At 48.5% G+C, this 25,501-nt stretch overlaps 1 long non-coding RNA gene and 1 pseudogene across 1 annotated transcript, besides 1 other annotated feature; one reads left to right on the top strand and one right to left on the bottom strand.

Annotated features, from left to right (window-relative positions):
- On the top strand, nucleotides 7,945-9,447 carry LOC100422263 (serine palmitoyltransferase long chain base subunit 2 pseudogene; annotated as a pseudogene).
- Nucleotides 9,106-9,606: an enhancer, noted in NCBI's record as "H3K4me1 hESC enhancer chr6:168167604-168168104 (GRCh37/hg19 assembly coordinates)". NCBI's record gives its function as "activates a minimal SCP1, AML or CMV promoter by ChIP-STARR-seq in primed H9 embryonic stem cells {active_cell/tissue: H9 hESC(primed)}" and the evidence as "EXISTENCE:reporter gene assay evidence [ECO:0000049][PMID:30033119]".
- Nucleotides 24,425-25,220, bottom strand: LOC107986547 (uncharacterized). The gene is made up of 2 exons (XR_001743900.2): nucleotides 25,074-25,220; nucleotides 24,425-24,941 (listed from the first exon to the last, which is right to left on the bottom strand). It is a non-coding gene; the product is annotated as an uncharacterized LOC107986547 (long non-coding RNA).
- Between the last annotated feature and the right edge of the window lie 281 nt (nucleotides 25,221-25,501).

The raw sequence follows: 25,501 nt of genomic DNA, 5'->3' as shown, positions 1-25,501 counted from the left end.
ATAATTGTCGTGCTCATCAATCCTATGGCAATAATAGTCAGCAAATGATACAGTTAATGAGAACAGCTTTACTATGTATTCTCCTTCCAGCTGCCTTCTAGTTGGATGCTGGACAATTGTCTAAGTGGAAACATCAGAAGAAAGAAGAGAATCAGAATATTTAATTAATTTATTTATTTGAGACAGGATCTCGCTCTGTTGTCCAGGCTGGAGTGCATTGGTGTGATCATGGCTCACTGTAGCTTTCACCTCCTGAGCTCAAGCCATCCTCCCACTTCAGTCTCCCAAGTAGGTGGGATGACAGGCACGCACCACCACACCCAGCTAATTTTTGTATTTTTAGTAGAGATGGGGTTTCACCATGTTGGTCAGGCTGGTCTCAAACTCCTGACCTCAGATGATCTGCCCGCCTTGGCCTCCCAAAGTGCTGGGATTACAGGCATGAGCCACCGCGCCCGGCCCTAAACCTGTTAATCTAATGCTACGATGACTAAGCCCCCAAACACACGGAAAGTTACGGCATAGCCTCATATGCAGAACAAACAATGCAGTCTGGTTACTGGGCCGGAATGGACATGACAGAGGTAAAGTCTATCAGGACACAGCAGGGCTAATACGCCAACACCTCAGAACAGCTGGTGTAGGCAGGGCTCGGGGCTAAGGCTTGGCGATGGTGGTAGAGGGACAATGGCTGTAAGCAGCTCCTTGCCCTTCTATTAGGTGAAGACATCATCTGCAGTAGGTGGATATTACAATGGGGGTGTGTGTCATTATTATTTGTCCAAACCCATAGAATGCACACTATTAAGTGGGGGGCTCTCCTGTAAACTGTCGACTTTGGGTGACGATGTGTCACTGTAGGTTCATCAATTGTAACACATGCTCGCTGTGGTGGGGATGTGGGTTGTGAGGGAGGCTGTGTGTGTGTTGAGGGGCAGAGGGTAGGTGGGAAATCTCTGTACCTTCTGCTCAGTTTTGCTGTGAACCTAAAACTACTCTAAAAAACAAAGTCTATTAAAGAGAAGTACAGACACATTCTCCAACACAGTGTACCTTGAAAACGTGCCTAGGGGACGAACCAGGTACAAAAAGCCACACACTGTCTACTTCCATGTGCATGAAAGTCCAGAACAGGCAAATCCAGAGGGAGAGAAAGTCAGGCAGTGGCTGCCAGGGGCTGGAGGATGGAAAGGAACTGCCAAGGAGAATGCAGTTTCTCCTGGGAGACTGGAAATTTTCAGGAGTCAGGGAGCGGTGATGGTTGCACAATCTCGTGAATGTACTAGTACCACTGAATTATACACTTTAAATAGGTAAATTTAGGGTATGTCAATTATATCACAAGAAGTTGGTTAGAAAAGTCATGTGCATATTAAAAAGGATAGCCCTTAAGAATGATAATGAACTCCATCCAACGCGATCCAGAATCCTGGGGCCAGGCGAGCATTCCCACCGATGTCCGTGCATTAACACGCCGTCAGGCCGGACTGTTGGTGAAAACACTGAAATATTTCCATAGTGCTTGGTATGTAGTAAATAGTATAAGAGTAGCTGTGATAATGGGCAATCTTTAATTATAATATAAATTCTAGGGTAAGCTCACTGGGTCACACTGATACTGACCATTGCGACAAGTATAGACACATGGGCTTTCTGTTGCACTGTCTTCTGAGAAACTTTTGGTTTTATTGTTATGGGGCATTGCATTTTTTATGTAGGTGGTAGCTATAGAATCTAAGATAAAATATTGTAAAAAAATCACTCTGGATAAGTGTAGGAATGCTTGCTTTAAATTTCATAAACATGCGTCTTCTGAGAGAGTGTGAATCAGATCTACTGCCTGGAGCATCCTCTGGTGTTGGAAACACCAATCTGGCCTGGAGCAGGGTTTGATTGGCAAGAATTAGTTGTTGTTGCTTTTTTTTTTTTTTTTTTTAGAAAAAGCTGCATTGCTGGAATTAAAAACAACTTGATTATTTCAACAAAATTGAATGACCTATTATTGATACTGACACAAATGCCAGATGCAAGTGGTGCCAACTGTGTAATGTCAAAAGTTAAAGTTGCCAGCCATCTACACACTTAGTGCAGGGATAACCACATCGTGCAAAAGACTCAGGTTTCCATATGGAAATGTGTAAAATTAATGAAAAAAATTAGAAGAATGATTTTCTTAATTCATAATTCAATTTCACATGTAAACATTTCAAATCATAAAAAATTATTTTAAAATTTATTAAAGAGTATTAATGAAGAAACTGAAAAAATGTTTAGAAGTGTTGCTTTTATAATCTTTTATACCACCTATTCTGTGGCTAAAAATAATCAGGCATTTCAGACATAAATAGTTTTATTGTTTATTTGTTTTTTGTTTTTGAGACAGAGTTTCACTCTTGTCACCCAGGCTGGAGTGCAATGGCATGATCTCAGCTGAGTGCAACCTCTGCCTCCCAATGTCAAGCGATTCTCCTGCCTCAGCCTCCTGAGTAGCTGGGACTACATGCGTGTGCCACCACACCCGGCTAATTTTGTATTTTTTTACTAGAGATGGTGTTTCGCCATGTTGGCCAGGCTAGTCTCGAACTCCTGACCTCAGGTGATCTGCCTGCCTCAGCCTCCCAAAGTGCTGGGATTACAGGTGTGAGCCACCGCACCCAGCCTATAAATAGTCATTAGAGCTTCAAAAACAGAATAACGCTAATATAGATGGATTATTGTAATCTAGATTTATTTATTTATTTATTTATAGTTGGGGTTCTTGCTCTGTTGCCCAGGCTGGAGTGCAGCGGCACAATTATAGCTCACTCTATCTTCAAACTCCTGAGCTCAAGCATTTCTCCTGCCTCAGCCTCCTGAATAGCTAGAACTTCAGGTGCACACCACCATGCCTTTTTTGTAGAGATGAGGTCTCCCTGTGTTGCCCAGGCTGGTCTTGAACTCCTATCCTCAAGTGATCCTACTGCTTGAGCCTCCCAAAGTGCTGGGATTACAGGCATGAGCCACTGCACCTGGCCATAATCTAGAATTTTGACTCGTCTACTTGAAAACATACATCCATTGAAATATGAAAACAAGTTTTAAGGAAGCTTACAAGTCAAGGCAGTACATTTCAATCATTATCAGCCAAATTTCATTACTTTCACATAAGACTATTGTAATAATTTATTTGAAATACAAAATTCAGAACTTTGAAGACAGTTTAATGGTTTTCTTGATTTTGTGAACGTCATAAAATTAAATGTCAATCATTCTTTTTAGTGTCGGAGAAAAATAATTTCCATGAGAAACTTCTTATGTAGAATACATTAGGTATGTATAAACAGTGTCAGTGTAATTGTGTGAAGAAAATATGTCATTTCTGCCAAATTTTTATAAAGTTTCAACATGTTTTAATTTAAGTTGTCTAATTTTGATTGTCTACTCAATTTAGACTAATTTATAGTCTGAAATGACTGTATTCAATTATATCTGAATGGCGCAATAACATTTGTAAATCAATCACTGTATCTGTTCCCAATAAGCTTTATGTTTGTATTATACATCAAGTAAACAGCAGAGAGAATTAAATACTATGTCTGAAGAGCTAGAATAAAAACAAAAACTGGAAGATAGCTGAGATTGTAGTGGGTACCCTGTGCAGGATAGAGCTTGTTAGAGTGTTTTTTTTGTTTTGTTGTGTTTTGTTTTTTTTGAGACGAAGTCTGGCTCTGTCGCCCAGGCTGGAGTGCAGTGGCGCGATCTCAGCTCACTGCAAGCTCTGCCTTCTGGGTTCACGCCATTCTCCTGCCTCAGCCTCCCGAGTAACTGGGACTACAGGCACCTGCCACAACGCCCGGCTAATTTTTTTGTATTTTTAGTAGAGATGGGGTTTCACCATGTTAGCCAGGACGGTCTTGATCTCCTGACCTGGTGATCCGCCCGCCTTGGCCTCCCAAAGTGCTGGGATTATGGGCGTGAGCCACCACACCAGCCTAGAATGTTTTAAAAAGTATATCAAGATTCACAGAGTCCCTCTGATAAAAACTGTGTCATGGGAGTGGTTAAACATTTGAAGACTGTGGCTTTAGTAAACACCATTAATGCTTTGTTAGCCTGACAAGAAAAACATATTTCAGTTATTAAAGCAAAGATGAAAAAGGTTTTCACATGCATATTCCTCTAGGTGAGTCCTACCCTGACTATTAAAAATTCCAAGGAACGAAACTCCCACTGTCCCACAGAACTCCAGATTCCCTTCCCTGGTCTATTTCTTTTGCAAAAGCATTTATCAGCTTTAAATCATACGTTGTAATTGTTTGGTTATGTTTATTATTTGTTTCCTTTTCTCTACACTGTAAGTCCATGAAGGGCAGAGATTTTTGTTGCTGTTGTTGATTTTGGTCACTGATGTGCCTAGCGTGGTGCCTTCTACCTGGTAGATGGTCAATATATAAATGTTTCTTGAATGAATGAATATATAAAATAAATAAACAAAATAGTGAAGGAAAAGTAGGAAGTATTTAAGTAAAGAAATAAGATAAAAATTGAAATAAAAACATAAAGTAGCTATTCTAAGAGAAAAAACTATCAGTTTGTGTAATAAGTTATTGGAAAATGCATTTTTGGTTTGAAGAGAAAAGTTAAACAATGAAATGTTAAGATGTTTAAGTAGTTTGAATTCTGAAACTAGGTCAGAGGACATTTGTGAATCTCTGTGGATAAAGAAAATTCAGCTGACTAATTAAATATAGTGAGCTAATAACCAATTTTCATAACAGTCTAGTAGTAGAGAAATCACATATAGCTAAATGTCAGACAGTGTTAGGAGGGCTGGATATTTACGTGTCATTAATGTTAGCGCAGCAAAGGCTGACACAGGTCTTTGCACCATGAGTAATGGCAATAATGTTAAAAGAAGTTCTTTTTGGAGACTTAGGTTAGGTGGCTTTATGGAGACTTTAAAATTGTGTCATGGGAGTGGTTAAACATTTGGAGATTTGCTTTAATAAACACTATTCTAAAGTGTTAGAATACATCATAGTCACCTAACGACCGTGTAATGGATAAGGAAGTTTTTGGGAGAATTTTCGAGGACTTTCCATGTCTAATCATGGCTAACTCAGAGCCATCTTCAGGAAGAGCTGTGCCAAACAGATCGTATGCCAATAATTTTGGGATGTTTATTGATGATTTGGAAGCTCTTAGAATGATCTGATAAAAAATTCGTGCTATAATTCCTATACCCTGGTAAATGGCTATCTAGGCATGCATGTTTATGTAATAATAATAGAGTTTAAAAAAGGGGATCTATTTTACAATTTTTAAAGGCTATATTGATTGACATATTTGTTTTACTGTGCTGTTGTTAACTATTTTGACTCTTGCTCATGGCGCTGAGTGCTGAAATTGGCTGGGACCAGGCTATCCAGTTTATAAAGACGCGGAGGGCAGGTCTTTACCATTCCTAAGACATTCACATCTTCACGGACGAAGTCCAGCCAGAGAGGCATGCAGCATTAATGAGGGAGCCCCACATGGCACCCAAATGGTGAGGAGAGAGACTCCATCCTGGTCTGGGATGTTCAAGGCCCAGAGATGCAGGTGATACATGAACGCCAGCGAGGTCTCAGGACTTGGGAATTAGAGTGAGGAGTGGGGCCTGTCTGGATGGAGGGAAGTGGGGCCCGGAGGCTGACCTAACCCTAACCCTAACCCTGAGCAACGCTGGAGCCGGGGGAGGAAGCACTCCCAGGCTGGGGGTGGCTGCTCTGAAGCTGCAACTCAAATTATGAGGTTGGAGAGGCAGAAAAGAGCTAATGCTTGGAAAGCTTTGAGCACCAGCTCGGGACTTTGGGCCGTGGGGTGGGAGACATGGGAATTCATGCTGGGAGTCATCAGGCCTGGGTGTGTCGAGCTGGGCAGGAACAGGAGGTGCTGTGGGCACAGGAAAGAGGCAGTGAGGCCTGAGGCTCCCCAGAGGCGCAGGAACGGGGCAGCATGAGGAGACGCCCCTGGTGCTGCAAGGAATAGACACCAAGGCCAAGGAGAAAGGAGGGGGGAAGGAGCCACAGCACTCATGCAGGCACCCGGGTGAGGATAGAGGAGCTGGGCTGGGTCCCAGGCCACTGGGAAAGGCAGAGACGGGTATGGACGGAGTCAGCCTGGAGGAGAGAGTTGAAGTTTGGAAAACAAAACAGAGGGAGATTCTATTAGAAGCCACACTTTCACCATCAGGGAACATAAAACTGCTGGCCAAGGTCTGGCCAATCGTTAAGGAGACACATAGGGTGAGAAAGGCTGTCCATCCATCGGTCAGGGCTCCGCAGGTTGGGGAGTGACAGTAGGTGATGGACCCTTAGGTGATAGACCTTTGTGGTGATCTCACCACGAAGCTCACTTCTCACCTCTGGGATGGGAGTCCAGGCATGAGGAACGGGAGCTGCCCACCCTCTCCCTCCACTGTCTTTCTCCCTGTGACAATCTCCATCTTTGGGGTAAGGCGCCCGGAGTCAGGGTTCCTAGCCAGTGGGATGGAAGCGTGGTGGCCTCATCCACACCAGGGGCCTCCTTTGGATAATCCTGCCTGTGCAATGCCCTCCCCATGGGAAGACCGAGCTCTGGGCGGCTCTCAGCAGGTGGGCTGGAAGTCCTGGCCACTCGCAGGATAATGATACTTCAGGCCGGCCTCACTGACCATGTTTGTGAAGAAGCCTCACCTCTCTTCTCTTCCTCTTCTTCCACCTTTGTCTTCCCAGCATTTCACATCCTCTTGGTGAAGGGTGACAGGAAACCCTCTAGGTGTGCAGGGATCTCTGGAATGTGTATCAGGTGAAAAATCTGAGACTGTTCCAGGGTAAAATATTCCACTGCAATGAAGAAATGTCAGCCTCAAGCCAGCTTAGGAGCAGATGGGTTCCTTATACCACCCTCGTGGTAAAAACGAGCCGAGTTTGCATTTCTCTAGTCTACCTTTGGTCATTCTTTCTATTTATTCAGCTACAACTTGGTCTCTGAACAAAGCTAAATGAAATCTTGGCATATTGTGCTGCCTATCGTAGAGGGGGATTGAGGGCTGAGAGATACCATTTCTTGAAAAATAAGACCATTTTACAGAAAATGGTAGCAGTAACATCTCTCTTAGGGTTGTTTCAAATACAGCCACACACTAATTACAGTCAAAATTTAACCTGAAGAAAAAAAGAAGGGAAACTGGAAAAATAATATGTGCGTTTTTAGATTATTTTGATAAAACAGAGAGGGAGGCTGGGAGACTGGGCTCTGAGTCCAGGAACATTCGAGAAGGCGAACGTCGATTTTGTGAATGCGTCGTGCATGGGGCAGGGGTAAGTTCTCCCCACCATGACTCCCGTCAGCCCTCCCAGCCCTGCGTGGCTTAGTGAATATTTCTGGGGCCTTTCAAATGGGTCACTCTTTGGAGGGAAGTCTGGGAGGCAGTGAGGGGCCAAGGAAGGGGCTGTGCTCGGACTTTTCTGCACCCTGACACATGGGACTGGGGTGAGTGCCCAGGTCAGACGTGCGGCCTGTTGGTGGGTGAGGGCATCTTCCTGGGGGGACTGCTGTGAAACTGAGGCAGCTGGTGACACACTGACCCAGGCAGGTCTTTCCCGGGGCAGGGGATGGAGAGGGTGACCCTTCTTTCTCTGGCTGGCCCCCCAGGTGCTCATCTCTCCGTGGGGCCTGTGGTGCACCCCTGTCTTGGAAGGGAAGCCCGACAGGGAGGGGAGTTCCTGAGCCACCTCTGGTTCCCACCTCCCCTGATGAAAACCTCCCCGTATCAAAAGAAACCTGGGATGGCCACAGGGGCAAGTGCAGAGGGACTACCAGTCCAGCTGCCACTACTCCCGGCTCTGGGCCAGGGGCTTCCCCTAGCGTCCCTGAGGCGCCGTCTCTGCGTCTCAAGGAGGGAGAGGGAACCTGGCTGAGAGCACCCGGAGGCTTGAGCAGAGGGTCTGTCATGTTACACAGAACAGAGTAAATGGCGTAAAAGAGCATTTCATGAAGCTCTAGGAGAAATACACGTCCTGGGTGCTGTGCTCACCTACATACTAGGGGTCTGGCGTACCCACCCGCCTTCTTTGAAAATCTTTGATTTCTTGAGGCATTGGAGAAATGAAAGTCATCACCATGCAACAGAAAGAGAAGAACACAAGGGCGTTGTGCCATTGTATCAGGATTTGAAAACTTGTATACACGGAACCTCTATGTGAGGCTAAGAGACAGCGGGAATGGAACAGTCTGGAGCAAGCCAGGGTGGACATGCTGCAGAGACAGTCTCCTGTTTATAACTGCTCCTTCAGGTATACAGGGAATGGAATTAAAGGTGCCAGAGACGTGGGTCCCTACAGCTATCTTGGACCTGCACCGAACACTGGATCATGTCAACAAGCAGCCGGCAAGTTCCGGGGAAGTACGGAGTTGGAGTGTGCAGCCCTCGGCAGGACTTTGGAGGCCTGGCCAACATGAAGAACTAGAGAGGCCTGTAGTGCAGTTCTGGGTTCTGTGGCATGTGGCATGAGATCTGCAGCAAATTCAGTGAATGCTCCTGCTCCTGTGGGCAGCGGCGCCTGATTCTGAATGAGGAACTGAGCCCTGCATCACTAGTTCTAGGGGCTACGCTGCCAGAAGCAACCACTCGAATTGCCAGATACGATGGCAGGCAGGGCCTGGGCGAGCTGTTGAAAGATGCTGTTGTTTACGGTCAGTCTCGGATGCGAAGGCCCCGGAAGAAGACTCTAATCCTTGTGGAAGGAACATACGGCATGAGGAGTGTATTGTTGACCTTCCTGAAGTGGTTGCCCTCAAGAAGAAACCCGAGGCATCCTTGCATCTGGATGAGGCTCACAGCACGGGGGCCCGGGCCCTGCAGCTGAGCTGCTGTGGAATACCTCAGCCTGGATCCGAGGATGCGGACGTTATGATGGGAGCATCCGCAAAGAGCTCCCGTGCTTCAGGAGGACACATTGAAGGCAAGGAGGAGCAGACGGACTCTCCGTGGACACCTTCTCTCAGTGCGACGCACGCCACCCTGCTGTCACCACCTGTAGTGCAGCGATCCCTCTATGGAGTGTGTCATGGAGCAGGATGGCACGGCCCTGGTAAGGAGCGTGTGCAGCTGTCAGCAGAAAACACCTGGCATTTCAGGAGACGCACTTCTCACCTATGGCAACAAAGATTCTCTGACGCTCTGCGGGATGCCAAAATTGGTGCCTTTGGACCAGCTGCTGGAGCAGAACCTCGGTGCGGCTGGGGTGGGATTTCCTGCCCCCCGAGTGATTGAGTCCAGAGCCAGGCTCGCCTGCATGAACTCATGCCAAAGAAATACTGCCTGCTGCTTTAAAGGAGAGAGACGAAGCTGGGGACTGATTGCAGCTGGAGCGCTCCTGTCATCCGTTGGTGCCTGTACTGGACAGGCTCTTGGACGAGGCTACACGTGAAGAAACAGAAGACTGGGTCTTTCTCGTGCTCCCTTAGAGGAACTCTCCCTCACCCAGGACAGTGTGTGGCCTTTCTGAGCCAGTTCAAGGAACTGTGGCCATCTCACGGAAAAGACATTTCCTCAGCTACTGAAGGTGGCTGCCTCACTCTGCGTGGCATTTTGCAAACAGTGAGGAAAGGCTTCACATCCTTCCTTTGCTAAGTCTCACCTTTAACAATGAAGGTGACTCTGCTTGCTTTTCTGGTTCATTAAACAAATGTTTTATTTTAAAGAACCCCAGAAATCTAGGAATGTCATATCCTTGCAATCTGAAGAGTCCACTAGTACAGGGTTATCAAAAATGCAAGTGGAAAAGCATGTTGTCCGGCGAGTCAGCAGATCGTCACCATCATAAATAAAATGCCCGCTGGGTGCGACACGCCACTTTACCTCTAAATCTAATAGCAGCACGTGGGGAAGGTGTTCCTGTTTCCAGTTTATAGGTGAAGACTTGAGGTCTCGGGGCTTTAAGCATCTGGTACAGGCAGGTTAGTCTGACTTCAAAGAACCTGCGCCAACGAACTGAAAGATGTTGTTTCTGCCCATTTCTAGTTAGGGCATGGGCAAGCGTATGGCAGAAGGACGCTATCAGCCTCCATGGGAAAGCACTCCATGAGCCGTTGTGGGTCCAGGTATATATTTCACAGCTGCTGAGCAAAAGCCAGACCACAGCAGGTTAAGTGCAAAAGCTTACTTAACAAGAGCCACAGATCATAGTTTGTGGTGCTGTGAGGTGGATCCTCTATTGGGAAAATGGATCAAATTAGCAAAATGATTAAGTGAAATCTGTAAAACGCAGTCTCAGATCAGTTGACCCCAGGCCAGACCACACTCACACATCGCCGAGTGAGCCCACTCAGGGCCCTTGGGGAGAAAAACTGGAGCACGAATCATTCACTTAGTGCACGAGGTAGTTCAGATGCTTGTGTCCTCCAAGTCTCATGCTGAGATTTGGTCCCCAGGGTTGGGGGTGGGACCTGGTGGGAGGGGTTGGGTCACGGGGGTGGATCTCTCAGGCATGGGTGGGTGTTGTCCTTGCAGTAATGAGTGACTTCTCTATTAGTTCACACGAGACCTGGTTTTTAACTATAGAGTGGCACTTCCTCTCCTGTCTCTCTCGCTCCCTCTCACACCACGTGAGGCTGGCTCTCCTTCACCTTCTGCCCTGAGCAGAAGCTTCCTGAGGCCTCACCAGATGCAGATGCTGGTTCCATGCTTCTTGCACAGCCTGCAGAGCTGTGAGCCAAACAAACCTCTATTCTTTATAAATCACCCAGCCTCGGGGATTATTTATAGCAATGCAAACGGACTAATACATGCATGAAGGTGAAGTATTTATTACTGGTTAAAAGTCAGATCTGGGAGGGATTTCCAGACGCTGCAGACAGGGGGGCCTCCTCTATGCCAAGTATGCTGCCCCATGTCTGCCTGAATCCATCTTCGAGCCCAGAGACTTTCAGTCACAGACCACACAGATACACAGTCCTGTAGCCCCTGCAACTCTGTCTCTGTTGGGAAGAAAACACAGAATGACAAGCAAAGCCGGGCAATCCTCATGAGTTTGATGATTTATGTCACACTGCGGCTCACCTGTGATGCGTGGAGCTGCAAATGAACTCATGTCAGTCCGCCCATGTCAACCAGGGTTGAAGTCCAGAAATAAAGACCCTCTGTACCCAACTCAGGGATTGATTTAACTCTTGGAATTTAGATTCATCCCCAAAGAGCCCACATTCCTAATGGCAAAGCTCGAACCCTGATGAAGAGATTTGATAGAAAATTCTGATTCAGCTTGGCTCTGTTTCCATGTGCAAATTATTCTTCTTAATTGAGGCCAAGGTATATTTTAAAATCTTGCTTTTCGGTCCTGAGGGCTGTCACAGTGCTTTAAAGTCTGGAGGGGACAGCCCAGAATGGGAGATTTTTCTCTAAGAGACTGATTTTATGATTAATTTAAGTATCCTGGGCCAGCGAATTTCTTTGAAGATGACATTTGCAGTAACTAATATAGGAGTCGAAGTCCACTGGGATTGAGCAAAAAACCAAGCAGGGGTTCGGCCAGAATTCAAAGCACCTTTGATTAGAACTCTGTTTTTCCAGTGACACACTCCTCTTTACCCTCTGAAGCTGAGTACGAAAAACACAAGCATTTGAGCAGGCGGGATCTTTTCACCTCGTGAGTGGGGGATAGACTTCGTCTTCCATTTGCTCCCTTAGCCCAGACGTCACCTCTTCCAGGACGGCTGCTGCCCCCAGTCCTGTCTCAAGGAGGCCTCTGACATCTCTCCCACCCCTAGCAGTTCACAGAGGGCTGGAGTTGTTCCCGACAGTATCTGGTAGGCATAATCACCCTAATGTCTTTCATTTCTAAAATGAGGACACGAAAGTAATAGGGAGGTTAAACTACTCACCCACGGCTGTGTGACCTGGAAGCGGGAGGCTGGAATCCAAGCCCACTCTGGTTCCCCAGCTCAGGTTTATTTTACAAGCCCACTGGTTTCAACATTTATTAAAGTCAGGGAACTGTTTCTTCAAATGAGATTGAAAATGGAAATCCAGTCTGTATGTCTAGGAATTGGGGCTGGGTATGCGGGCCAGGCCTCTGTGGTGCCCTCACTCTTCCTCCTTGGGTTTTCGGAAACAACTGGAGTCGCACGTACCTCACTGCACCGAGCCGAGAGTAGCAGGGCGACAGGGAAGTGCACTGTCTCTGTGCTTGGCCACTGATGGCACACCTGGCCCAGCAAGGTCCTGGCAACTGGATGTCCATGACATAGTAACTCCTCGGGATTCCAATACTGTTGTGTGATGATTCTGGTACGAGTTTAATGTATGCAGTCCCTCTTGATGGTTATGGGGTGTGTTCTGCTGTCTTTTTCCAATCTTTATGTCCCTCCTCTAGCGAGAAGTAGGGAAAACAATCTTGCTGCTGTCAGCCACAGTTGTGTATACAAAAGAATATTTAAGGCCATAAAAATGGAATCTGGCTTTAAAAAATGCCTTAATAAAGTAGCATAAACTTCAGTTTCATTTCTTGTTACTTTCCATTCTGGCCTCAGTTTCTGCATTTGTCAAATGGGGGGAAGTGGGGTCAGCCTCAGCGGCTGTTCTGAGGACAGCAGCAGTGACCACAGCTGCAGGTTTCAGAACAGCATCCGGCACAGAGTGTGCACATTTGCAGGACAGACCACAGGAGAGGCTGTGCTGACCAGTTTATAGGACAGGCCTCACTATCCTGTTGGATGCTGCAGAATCCAGCAGCCTGGTGTCTTGGTTCCTGCTCATTCCAAGTGTCCCTTAGGGACGACCCGTGAGTCCTCTGGGGCTGCATTGTCCTCATCTGGGACCAGGCCTGGCAAAGCCAGCATTTGAGTCTATTCTCACACTGCTAATGAAGACATCCCCAACACTGGGTAATTTATAAGGAAAGAGGCTTAATTGACTCACAGTTCCGCATGGCTGGGGAGGCCTCAGAAAACTTACGATCTTGATGGAAGGGGAAGCAAACGTGTCCTTCTTCACATGGCAGCAGCAAAGAGAAGTGCAGAGTGAAGAGGGGGAAAGCCCCTCATAAAACCATCAGATCTCATGAAAACTCACTCATTATCATGAGAAAAGCATGGAGGTAACTGCCCCATGATTCAATTACCTCCCACCAGGTCCCTCCCACGACACATGGGGATTATGGGAACTACAAGTCAAGATGAGATTTGGGTGGGGACAGCCAAACCATATCAGCCAACGACCAGAGAAGAGGGAAGGAGAAGGCTGGAGGGTCTTATCTTAGCAGGTCCCATGCTCTGTGCAGATGCTGCACACACACCTACCATCCAGGCCACACTACGAGGCTATGCCCACTGTGGGGCTACAGGAAGGCCAATCCTCCACGTGCTGGAGAGAAGAGATTGGATATTGGTGAGCAGCACTGCTTACTAACGCAGCACTTAATAACTATTAGCCTGGAGAAACCCCATCTCCACTAAAAATACAAAATTAGCCGGACGTGGTGGCACATGCCTGTAATCCCAGCTACTCAGGAGGCTGAGGCAGGAGAATCACTTGAACCTGGGAGGTGGAAGTTGCAGTGAGCCGAGATCGTGCCATTGCACTCCAGCCTAGGCAACAAGAGCAAAACTCCATCTCAAAAACAAAATGAAACAAAACAAAACTATTAGCCGTGACTATCCAGGAAAACATTTACTCAGCAGGGGACAGAGGATCATCGGGTATGTCATGTAACATGGATGCTATACACAGGGTCTTTGTTTTAAAATCTGAAGGAAAGTCGAGATTATTTTTGATTTATTTCACTCTATTTTTTGGCTTTCAACTATGTTCTTGTGGGTAGCCACTTTACAGAAGCTCTAGGTAGATCAAGTCCAATAAAAAGAAATGAAGGATGAATGTAGCATTATATAACTCAATTTTAAGATTGTGTTTATTGGCTGTATTGAAAAACCGCAACAGCCATGCGTATTATTTATTGACCAAAGCTGTTTTCCTTTCTTTTGCACCAGATGGAAACACAAAGACTGCATTGTGTGTTGGTGCTCACACTGTCTCCTGGCAGTGGCTGTGTGCTGACACTGGATTTTGCACCGCTGATAACATGATTGAGAAACAGCTCATAGTTTGTCAGGACATTTGCAATGGAGCCTGTCCCAGGAGTGTGAGTTTCACCTGCCATAGAGTCTGTTGCCCGGCTTATGGGAGACTGGATATATCTGGTGATAATTTCACTAATCAATCAATGCAATCAACCCCTTATGCTACTCTTATCCGGGTAATTTATCATGGACATTCCAGTTACTTTCCTTCCATAGGTGAAGTTTATGCTTCACTAGTATAAAACGCAGCATTGTTCAGAACTAAGGTGACATTTAGGAAGGGCAAACAATGGGAAGAAAAGCTTTCCTGGGGGGCGTGTAAGGTTAGCGAGGGGTGGAGATGAAAGGTAGAGGGAGTACAAAGATGGGACCCAGAAGTGGGGGTGAACAGGGAGGCATCTAGGGATGTTTCCTCTTGGTCACAGAAAGATGCCCATCCCGCTTCGGCCTTCTGCGCCAGCCCTCTCTGTGCACACAGCCTAATGCATGTGGTAGCAGGTGCACAGTGTGTGTCCACATCTCTTCTTCTCTTTGCTACCACCCAGCTTGGTCTGCTGCCAAACCAATGGGCTTGTTAGTAATATATAGATGGGTGGATGGAGGGATGGGGGGAGGGAAAAAGGGAGGGAGGCATGGACGGGTGTACAGTGGAGAGCTGTAATCCGGTGTTCTGGGTTGAGAGAGGCTGCATGGCATGGTGACTAAGAGCCAGCCTTTCAGGGCTGCGCAGCCTGAGTTTAAATCCCTGTGCCCAGCATCCTCCCCGTATGGCCCCCTGCCTCAGTCTTTCCAACTGTAAAATGTCAATAATAACGGGCCGTCGTGAGGATTGAGTGAGTTAATCCAGGAGCAGTGCCTGGCTCAGCGTCTGCTGTGCAACCGTGACTATCTCCCCAATCCCTCCTCACTCAGTGGCTGGCCTCCTGGCTGCTTGAGCTTCTGTGGCAGAGCTGGGCTGGAGAACGATCGTGCAGACTCCCATCCAGAGCACACGTCACATGGGCACTGGACAGAGTCCTGGGAACCAGAGAGTCAGCTCAAAGTTTTCACAGTTTCAAAATACTTCCTCACCTCTGACCTCAGCACTCCAAGGCAGCCATGTGGATGCCGGCTCTTGGCAGGGAGTGAATGGAATCTTTAAGGAGCGCTCCAGCCGCCTTGCCCTGGGGCGACCTTGGCTCAGCACACATCCTAATGCTCAAGGCCTTCAGGGCCAGGGTCTTCCCATGAGGCCCCCTCTGTGCATCCATCTGTTCCGCAAGTATTTGTTAAGCACCTACTGTACGCATGTGTGTGGTTTGGGGTCTGCCACCTCTACCTTCATTCTGAGTCAGGTCTTTTCCTATGAAATGTTTATCTTTCTGTTCTGCACTGTGTGGTCTTGATGCTTGCCAGGGAATCAGGGTTGGGTTTGGCAGGCATGAGCCTGGAACCTTCCAGAACGGTGTGGGAGGTAACAATGAGTGATTACAACATGGCTCTTGATTTTCTCCCCTCCTCATACCTAACCTCATTTTCTCACCCTTAACCTAGGGTTCCTTAACTCCAGATCTGGGTGAACTTCCTGAGGAGGGTATAAAGAGTGATATGGGACATTAGAAGGTTTTGGAAGGAAAACTTGAACATCCCACTGAGCCCTCAAGTGAGCAGAATGGCTATCATGAGGGTGTGCAGTTGTCCTACAACTTTATCTGTATGTGGGTGGGGTGGGGTGAGGTGGGGTGGGTGGGTGCCAGGAATGGAGTGGGACCATCTGGGTCATTCCATGCCCCTTAGTACCAGAATGACCCTGTCTGGACCTGGGGTAAACTGATCTGAAGCAGACAGACAGGTAGTCTCCACAGGGAAGGCTTTCCTGACTTCAGGGTCTTTGTTGGGCTGGGCCTTGACGTGATTTCCGTTCCCAAAGCCGACGAGCAGTGTGGAGGATGGGGAGGAGCCCACTCTTACATGTCCATGGGGTCCGTGGGGAAATATTTCTGCAGACTTGGAAATAATGAAAGTTAAACTGCACATTGAAATAGAAAATGGACTATAATATCGCAATCAGTGAATCAGAGCAGAGCTAGGTCAAGAAATCCTTCCTGGAGTGAACAGTGACAACCATCTTCTCTGCCAGCTCCACACCAGGCACTGTTCCTCGCCTTTGCCCCTGACGCCTGAAATGGCACCTGAGCCCCAGGCCATCCCCCACACCGAACAGGTCCCTCTGTCTCTCAGAAGCTGCACCTGCGTGTCGGCATCCCCAAAGCCCGAGGCGAGGCAGGCTGGGAGGCGAGGGCCGTGAAACATCTCTTGGGCAGCTTTTGAAAATGCACGTGTCTGCCTGCAGGTTTCGAACATGTCATCCAGCCCACCCCAGTCCACCCTGCCAGAGTGCTGACTCCATCTTCATCTGGGAATTGCCGCCAATCACATTCAGGAGGGGATGAGCCAGTCTCACTCCTGTCAAAGGCCAGACCCTTCCCCCTGCACCCGCCTGGGAAGCCCTGTGGCGCCTCCTTCTCCCGCCCACATCGTCATATTCGCCCTCTCTCCCTGATCTTTCTCACCAGTGCCCAGACGTGCTACTATTTCTCCCATCTCGGGAAAACGAAACCAAAACATTCCTTTTGGCCCATTTTTTCCCTTCCGGATCCACTCCATTTTCCCACATCCTCTTGCAGCGGACTTCTTCACAGGTCGCCTAAATCAGATGACCAGGAATCTTCCTGCGCTATATCTTCCCTTGAGCCTGATCTCCTCCTCCACAGCTGCTCTGAATTCTCCATCCTCTCCCTGAACTCTCCCTCATCCTGCCCAGCCTTCACGGCCTCCCCAGAGCCCCCGTTCCACCAGCATCAGGGACACCCCTCCCTTGGCCATCTCCCGCCTGGTCAGGCTGCACCTTCTCAGCCCCCTTTCCTGGGTCCTTTCCTGACCTCCTGAGACCTGCGCGCTCAGAGGTCCACCTGGGATCTTGTTCTCTCCACTCAACCTCCAGGCTCTGGGCCTCAAAGCTCATCTCTGAGCCGATGGCTCTCCATCTGGGCTCCAGCTCCGTCCCTTCTCCTGAACTTTGGACTCACAAAGGGCTCCTGGGAGCCTCCACTTAGCTGCCCAATGGACATCTCAGCATTGCCATGTCCCAAGTTGAAATCCCTTCCTGCAGAACCTGCTCCTGGCACTCCGCTCCCGTCCTGGTAAACTCGATGTTCCAGGTGTGCCAGCCTCCCCTGGGTGCCACCCTGGGGAACTCTCTCTCTCAACCACCACATCCAACCCAGCAGCAAATTAGGTTGGCTCTAACTTCCAAATATATCCAGGACAGAATCACTTGCAGGCATTTTGTGCCAAATCCTCACAAAGCTCTTTAGACATTTTCCTAAGTCACAGGTGAGGGTCCTGGTGACTTTCCGTGCCCTGGGGCTGTCAGGGCAGCAGGCCCTGGAGCGGGGCAGAACTGTGCCCTTTCAGCTCCGGCCTGCCTTCCTCATCCAGCTCAGACGGGGGGCAGAGGGAGGAGGGCAATGTCAAGATGGAGTGCCCCAAGCTGGGGCCGCAGAAGCAGGCTCTGTGCAAGTGGGGTGGGGGCGCCCGGAGGACTTGACGCAGAACCCCTCTCTCCTCTGCCTGCACGCCTGGCTCTCCCCTCCTATGGCTGCGTGGTTGTGAGGGGAGTGGGCGGCTGTTTGGACATCAGTCCCCCAGTTTAGCCTTGTTGTCCTGGAGGGATTCTGAGCAAGCATCCCAGGCTAGGAGGGGCCATCCCAGTGAAGCCTTGGGAAGAGTCGCCAGGCTTCTGGGGCCCTCTCCTGGCTCGGTTCATGGGCTGGGTATGTGACAAAGGGATTTTGAAGGCCTCTGTGGGCCCTGCTATGGGCTCTGCCCTCTGAGGTGTTCCTGGTGGTCAATAATCCGGGCCATCACTCGGGGGCTCCGTCTGCAGGGACAGGCTCTGGACATGGAGCCCAGCAGAGCCCGTGGCTGCCCAGGGATGAATCCTGCGACACAGTTATGCCCTCCTCTCCACCGGGTTGCCTCAGACCACAGCAAATGGTCTGGCCCAGGGGTCTGAAGGAGCTGCCGGCTGCCGTGGCATAGAGGGCATCCCCTAGCCTTGCTGTGCCACAGCCAAATCCTCACTGCTGAGTCCATTTACACTACTTCAAGCGCACTAAGCACATGTATTTACTTCCTACTCTCTGCCACTGTCACTGTTAGTGGCAGCCTCGGTTCCCCTTCCCAGTCCCTGCAGGATGATGTGGGGTCAGTGAGCAAGAGACCCACAGCTCACCCGAAACCATGGCGCAGAAACCATGGCAAAACCGGTTTCAGGCTCCACATATGGTGAGGAAAGGAACCTCCTGGAGCTTCTTCCGCAGGGCACCGGGACTGCCTGGGGCTTCGACGTCCACAGGAGCCCCGTCTGCAGAGGACAGAGGTTCTACCCAGGCCCGGTAGGGATGAGCTGGGGCCACCTGCTCACACGTCACCGCTGCCTCTGGGTGCTTGTCTTGTGTCTCCCAAAAGACGCTCTTTTCCAGACAACCTGACTGTAGGATCAGCACCAGCAAAGCCTTCCCCGCTCCACCGTGCTAAATATCACTATGTAACAGGCAAATCCCTGCACACGCACAGTGGGTCTTCCCATACTTACAGGTTTAATTTTATCAGAAGGAGAATGACCTGGAGTCAGATAATGAGCCATATTCCGCCTGGTGTCTGGTCTCACTACTGGCTCTCTAAAATTGATATGGAATGTTTAGAGGGACGTTGGATGCAATACCTAATGATCATTCTCTTAAGAATACACATTTCAGTGGCTCTTTATCATTCCCAGTAAGAGAAATGCAACTGAAACTAAATTGAGATTCTATTTCTCAGGGATGAGATAAGCAAACAACTGAAAGGGGTGAGAATGCATTCTGTTGGAGGTGCTGTGGAAAGCAGGCACTCGTGTGTTGTCGGGAGATATGCAAAATGGCATTCCAGCTAGGGAAGGGAATCTGGTGTTGTCCATACCAGCCCATGTGCAAAATGACATCTGTGCACCACTCACCGTGGTGTGTTTGTAACAGCACAAGGCCGGGAGAGGAGCAGATGTAAATCCATCCAGGGCTGCTTGAATTATATGCAGCTCTAGGGAAAGAATGAGAAAGAGCTCCGTGTATGGATAAGGAAAGATCATCAGAATATGACGTTCAGCAAAAAAAAGCAATATGCTGCACTGTGTGCACGAGGAAGGGGAATAAGAATACGAATGGGCACTGCTTGCATCTTCGTAGACATAGACAGGCGAGCCAGACCCAGTGCACGCGGCACAGCAGGAGGTGTGACAAGGGACCCGCATGCATGGGGGTGGAGTGGGAGTGAGACCTCCTGAACACATCTTTAAATATCATTTAAATATTTGAGCCATGGAAAGTATTATCTGGCTAAACAGAAAGTTAGAGATTAAGTAACAGTTCATGACTAAGGTTCTACCTCTCTCTCCTCTGCCTGCCATGTCTTTTGAAGCCCAGCTCATCCTGAAGCTTCCCATCAGATTGAATCCCTGACCCAGCATCCCCACCATGTAGTTTGTACACTTATTATAGCATCCATGGCATTCAGCCTGGCGTGATAGTTAGTAATTAACCTGCCTGTCTCCCCTAAATTATGCCTTTCGTGGAGGGAAGTTTCTCATACTGCTCATTACAGCTGTTTGCACAGAGTGAGTGACTCCACAGGTATTTGTTGAATGAATGAGTAGTTTAGAGACTCCCAAGAAGGTTCACATCTTCATTAGGTGGTTCTGGAACTTTGTTAGGGACTGGGACTCTCTCTAGGATGAACTGGGGTACCTGAGGATCTCTGGGAGCAAATGACAGTCTCTGGACTGGCCATGGACATCCTCAGGCCTCCTTCAGACCCACGTTCTGCTGGTCCTGGGGGAGCTGTGGATTGGGGGGTGGGGGACTCACTTTACTAGTTAAGTCCCATCCCTGTGTCAGGGGAACGAAAATTCTGATGTCCAGTGCAAAGTCAATGACGTTTTCTGCATTTTACTTTTCCAAATGACACAATGCGTCTACACAATGCTAAATAGATGAAGAATTTCATCAATTAAAAAAAAAACTCAGCTAATGAAAATTAATAATAAGAATAATTAATGAGACATTTGATTTGATCCATGTCTGATCAACTTGACAGATCTCTTTTGCACTCAGAAGCTCTTACTGGGGGAACTTACTGTGTGCAGGCTGAGCCAGGGTATGTGGGTGTTATCACCCCAGGCTGACACAGCCCCTGTCTGCTGAGCAGTGGGGGACCTTGAGGGCTCATCTGAAGGTGGCCGGTGCTAAGACTGATGACTATCTAATGACACCCCTTAGCATCCCAACAGGGCTTCCCTCCCTGAGGCTGAAAGCAGGAAGTAAAGAGCGGACAGGCACTGGGGTCCCCATGTCACCTTTCTGGCCTTAAGGTATCAGGGGTGGCCCGGTAACATCAGGGCCTCTGCTGGGTAAAATTGAAGGGAGCTTTGGAAGCATCCCCTTTTACTCAATGATTCATGAGAATCAGATCATGGAACTGATCTGAGACAGGAAGGGCTTTTCCAGGTCACAGCAGCGAGCCTGTCCTCGGGCCGCAGCAGCCCCTGCAGCTCTGGGGTGCAGACGAAGGCTCACTGTGTCCTCAAATTGCCTCTTTTGAATGATTGTTTTCCATTTAAAACTTACCGGTCAATGAAAATCCATTTCTCCTTGTCTGCTGCGTTACCTTGAACTCGCCCCCACTACCAGGACGAGTCCCACCCGCTTCTGCCTGCGTGCCCCTGGCATTGCACTGACGGATTCCAACACACCTGCAGGCATCCCCGCTCCCAGGCCCCAGTGAGAGAGGTGGAGTGAGAAGCAGCAACAGCAATAACATTATCAATGAACGTTCAATGAGGGCATTCGGTATTAAACGCGCTTCATGTTTGTATTTTCTAAGTGTTACATGCAGTAACTAATTTAATTTTCTCAGCAGCCCTCTGGGGTAGGCTCCACTACAATCCACATTTTACAAGAACATGGAAGCACAAACGGGGTGAGTCCCCTGGCCTGGCGCACACCTCACAGCTACTCCAGCACTCCATGGGCTGGTCCCAAAGAAACAGCTTCATTTACCTGCAGCATTTTTTTTTAAACATTTTCAAAGAGAAAAATACTTCTGAGCTCATACTTGAGTTTTGCTTTAAAGTTGTAGAAAAAAATTAAAAATAAATAAAAAGCCTTAAAGTCATTTTTAAAATTTCAACATTTGGAGCCATGAATACAAAAGTTTGAAGAGTTCATGCTGGGCGTTGTGATGGTTCAAAGGTGTAAACACACTGGAACCTCTCCATGACAAGCTACGCTAAACGCAGCAGGGTTGGACCCTCCCCAAGGGTCTCTATACCTGAAAATACAGAAAAATGAGTTCTAACATGTTTCCTCTTATTCTGCGGGGTGAAGCTGAGTCTACACTGGAAGCCCTGGGTCCTCTGAGGCCTTGCCATCCCAGCATGGCCCCACAGCGGCCTCCCCAGGAGCTGGTTAGAGATGCTGATCCCTGCCCCCTGCCCTGCCCCTGTCCTCCGACTCAGAACTCTCCCTAACGAGATGCCCAGGGGATCGCATGCACGATGACATTTGAGAAGCTCCACTCTAAGATACGGGTCTTAATTTCTGAGATCTTTTCTAAGCTTTAAAGTTTTATGATTCATTCTCTCTTTGAAACTCTGGTTATGATGAAACTACGGCTGACATGGTTAATTGGCCACCATAATTCGTGACAGGGAGGCTTCCCTGGGACTACTGTCCATGCCCAGCCCAGAGCACTAGCCACAGCCACTCAGATTTCTCCTTTGGTTGATTAATTCTTTCCTTTTTTGAGAGACAGGGGACACTACTGATATGGTTTGGCTGTGTCCCCATTCAAATCTCAACTTCAATTGTATCTCCCAGAATTCCCATGTGTTGTGGGAGGGACCCAGGGGGAGGTCATTGAATCACGGGGGCCGGTCTTTTCCATGCTATTCTCATGATAGTGAATAAGTCTCACGAGATCTAATAGTTTTATCTGCTTTTGCTTCTTCCTCATTCTCTCTTGCTGCCACCATGTAAGAAGTGCCTTTTGCCTCCCTCCATGATTCAGAGGCCTCCCCAGTCATGTGGAACTGTAAGTCCAATTAAACCTCTTTTTCTTCCCAGTTTCAGGTATGTCTTTCTCAGCAGTGTGAATACAGACTAATGCAGTAAATTGGTACCAGTAGAGTGGGGTGCTGCTGAAAAGATACACCAAAATGTGGAAGCAATTTTGGAACTGGGTAACAGGCAGATTTTGGAACAGTTTGGAGCGCTCTGAGGAAGACAGGAAAATGTGGGAAAGTTTGGAACTTCCTAGAGACTCGTTGAATGGCTTTGACCAAAAGCCTGATAGCAATATGGACAATAAGGTCCAGGCTGAGGTGGTCTCAGAAGGAGATGAGGAGCTTGTTGGGAACTGGAGTAAAGGTGACTTTGTTATGTTTTAGCAAAGAGACAGGGAGCATTTTGCTTCTGCCCTAGAGATTTGTGGAACTTTGAACTTGAGAGAGATGATTTAGGGTATTGGGTGGAAGAAATTTCTAAGCAGCAAATCATTCAAGCTGTGACCTGGGTGCTGTTAAAAGCATTCCCTTTTAAAAGGGAAGCAGAGCATCAAAGTTCAGAACATCTGCAGCCTGACGATGCAGTAGAAAAGAAAAACCCATCTTCTGGGGAGAAATTCAAGCCGGCTGCAGAAATTTCATAAGTAGCAAGGAGCCTAATGTTAATCCCCAAGACCATGGGGAAAATGTCTCCAGGCCATGTCACAGACCTTCATGGCAGCCCCTCCCATCACAGGTCCAGAGGCCCAGGAGGCAAAAGTGGTTTTGTGGGCCAGGCCCAGGGTCCCTGTGCTGTGTGCAGCCTAGGGACTTGGTGCCCTGTGTTCCAGATGCTCCAGCCATGACTGAAAGGGGCCGACATACAGCTCAGGCTGTGGCTTCAGAGGGTGGAAGCCCCAAGCCTTGGTAGCTTCCACGTGGTGTTGAGCATGAGGGTGCACAGAAGTCAAGAACTGAGGTTTGGGAACCTCCACCTAGATTACAGAAGATGTGTGGAAACACCTGGATGCCCAGGCAAAAGTTTGCTGCAGGGGTGGGGCCCTCATGGAGAACCTCTGCCAGGGCAGTGCAGAAGGGAAATGTGGGGTTGGAGCCCTCACACAGAGTCCTTACTGGGGCACTGGCTAGTGGAGCTATGAGAAGAGGGCCATTGTCCACCAGACCCCAGAATGGTAGATCCACAAACAGCTTGCACTGTGTGCCTGGAAAAGCCACAGACACTCAACGCCAACCCATGAAAGCAGCTGGGATGGAGGCTGTACCCTGAAAAGCCACAGGGGCAGAGCTGCCCAAGACCATGGGAACCTACCTCTTGCATCAGCATGACCTGGATGTGAGACCTGGAGTCAAAGGACATCATTTTGGAGCTTTAAAATTTGACATTCCCGCTGGATTTTGGACTTGCATGGGCCCTGTAACCCCTTTGTTTTGGCCAATTTCTCCCATTTGGAACAGCTGTATTTACCCAATACCTGTACCCCTATTGTATCTAGGAAGGAACTAGCTTGCTTTTGATTTTACAGGCCCATAGGTGGAAGAAACTTCCACCATGCCTTGTCTCAGATGAGACTTTGGACTGTGGACTTTTGGGTTAATGCTGAAATGAGTTAAGACTTTGGGGGAGTGTTGAGAAGGCATGATTGGTTTTGAAATGTGAGGACATAAGATTTGGAGGGGCCAGGGAAAGAATGATAAGATTTGGCTGTGTCCCCATTCAAATCTCAACTTCAATTGTATCTCTCAGAATTCCCACATGTTGTGGGAGCAACTCAGGGGGAGGTAACTGAATCATGGGGGTCGATCGTTTCCATGCTATTCTTGTGATGGTGAGTAAGTCTCATGAGATCTGATGGGTTTATCAGGGGCTTCTGCTTTTATTTCTTCCTCATTCTTTCTTGCTGCCGCCATGTATGGTGTGCCTTTTGTCCTCCACCATGATTCTGAGGCCTTCCCAGCCACGTGGAACTGTGAATCCAATTAAGTCTCTTTTTCTTCCCAGTCTCAGGTGTGTCTTTATCAGCAGCATAACAATGGACTAATACAACTATGTTGCCCAGGCTGGATTCCAACCTGGGCATAACTGATCCTTCAGCCTCAGCCTCCTGAATAGCTGGGACCACAGGTGCATGCCGCTGTGCCTGGCTTGGTTGATACATTCTTGTGATGGGTTTAGATCTTGTTTGTATATACATATTTTTACTATTTAAAGGGGTAGCTTAATTGTTTATTTAGCAATAAAATTTGTGGGGGAGAACTAGAACTAGGAGCTTGCTTTACAATGGCTGAGATGGAGCCCGCATGAAGGCTGGGTCAGGCTGAGATGGACAAGCAGCTGCCTTTGGGCTGCTGTGCCAGCAACATCGTGGCCAGTGGTTTGGCAAAGAAGGCAACATCAAGGCTTGGTCAAGGCAACATCAAGGCTTGGTCAATGCAGCCGGGGCAAGAGTCCAAGCAGTGCTACCCCAACTTGACAGGAGAGGCAGAGAAACTGAAGGATTCCAGCTCATCTGTCTGGACACTCCACAGCCACCAAAGAGCCAGCACCATCTCCCTGGATCTGGGCACCTTCCAACCTTGAGAAGACTCAGGACGGCAGAATGGTGTGCCGTGAGGAAGTTAGGAGGCAGCTAGCCTCGGAGGCCCCTCTGTGGCAGCTGCCCACTTCCTGGACCCAGGCTGGCCACAGGCTCTCCCGGGCCTGCCAGCCTTGCCCAGCATCCTGCAGTCAGAAGGAGGAAGAGGAGAGAAAAGGGATAAGGAGAGAACAAAGCTGTCAACACTCTTTTGGAGGGACTTGAATTAAATGCCCAGAATTCTGGCATGAATGGAGAGGGCTGCTCCCACAATATACCTGTGCCATGCCGTGCATCAACTCTCTGCATCCTGATTTTAGACAGGAGGACTCACCAGTTTGAAGAAATGATGCTATTTCTAGGGCTAAGAGCCCCGAAAGAATCCAGATGGGTCCGTCTGGTGCATTGTAGAGCTGTAATGTAATGTAATGTAGAGTCTCTTATGTAACTTACTCCTGAGGCAACAATCCAGCCTCACTGCTTGCACAGCCCAACAAGCAACAAGCAGACAAACAGGTTAAGCTGCCCTCCCAGTGGGACTGAGAGTCAGATGACCTGAGAGGTGTGAGGTTGTTCCCAAAGCACTTCCTGAAAGGCCAGCAGTAAACAACCTGAGCAGGCTTCCCAGGCTTGGCAGGCAGGGCAGCTCCGTCCCTTCTGTGGCCTTGCTAAGCAGCACAGCCCTGGCCAGCACCAGACTGGCTGC

The sequence above is a fragment of the Homo sapiens genome, chromosome 6 (genome assembly GCF_000001405.40).
Source record: "Homo sapiens chromosome 6, GRCh38.p14 Primary Assembly".
Lineage (NCBI taxonomy): Eukaryota > Metazoa > Chordata > Mammalia > Primates > Hominidae > Homo > Homo sapiens.
Note: the sequence above shows the minus strand (reverse complement) of the source record. Positions and strands in the feature narration are given on the sequence as shown.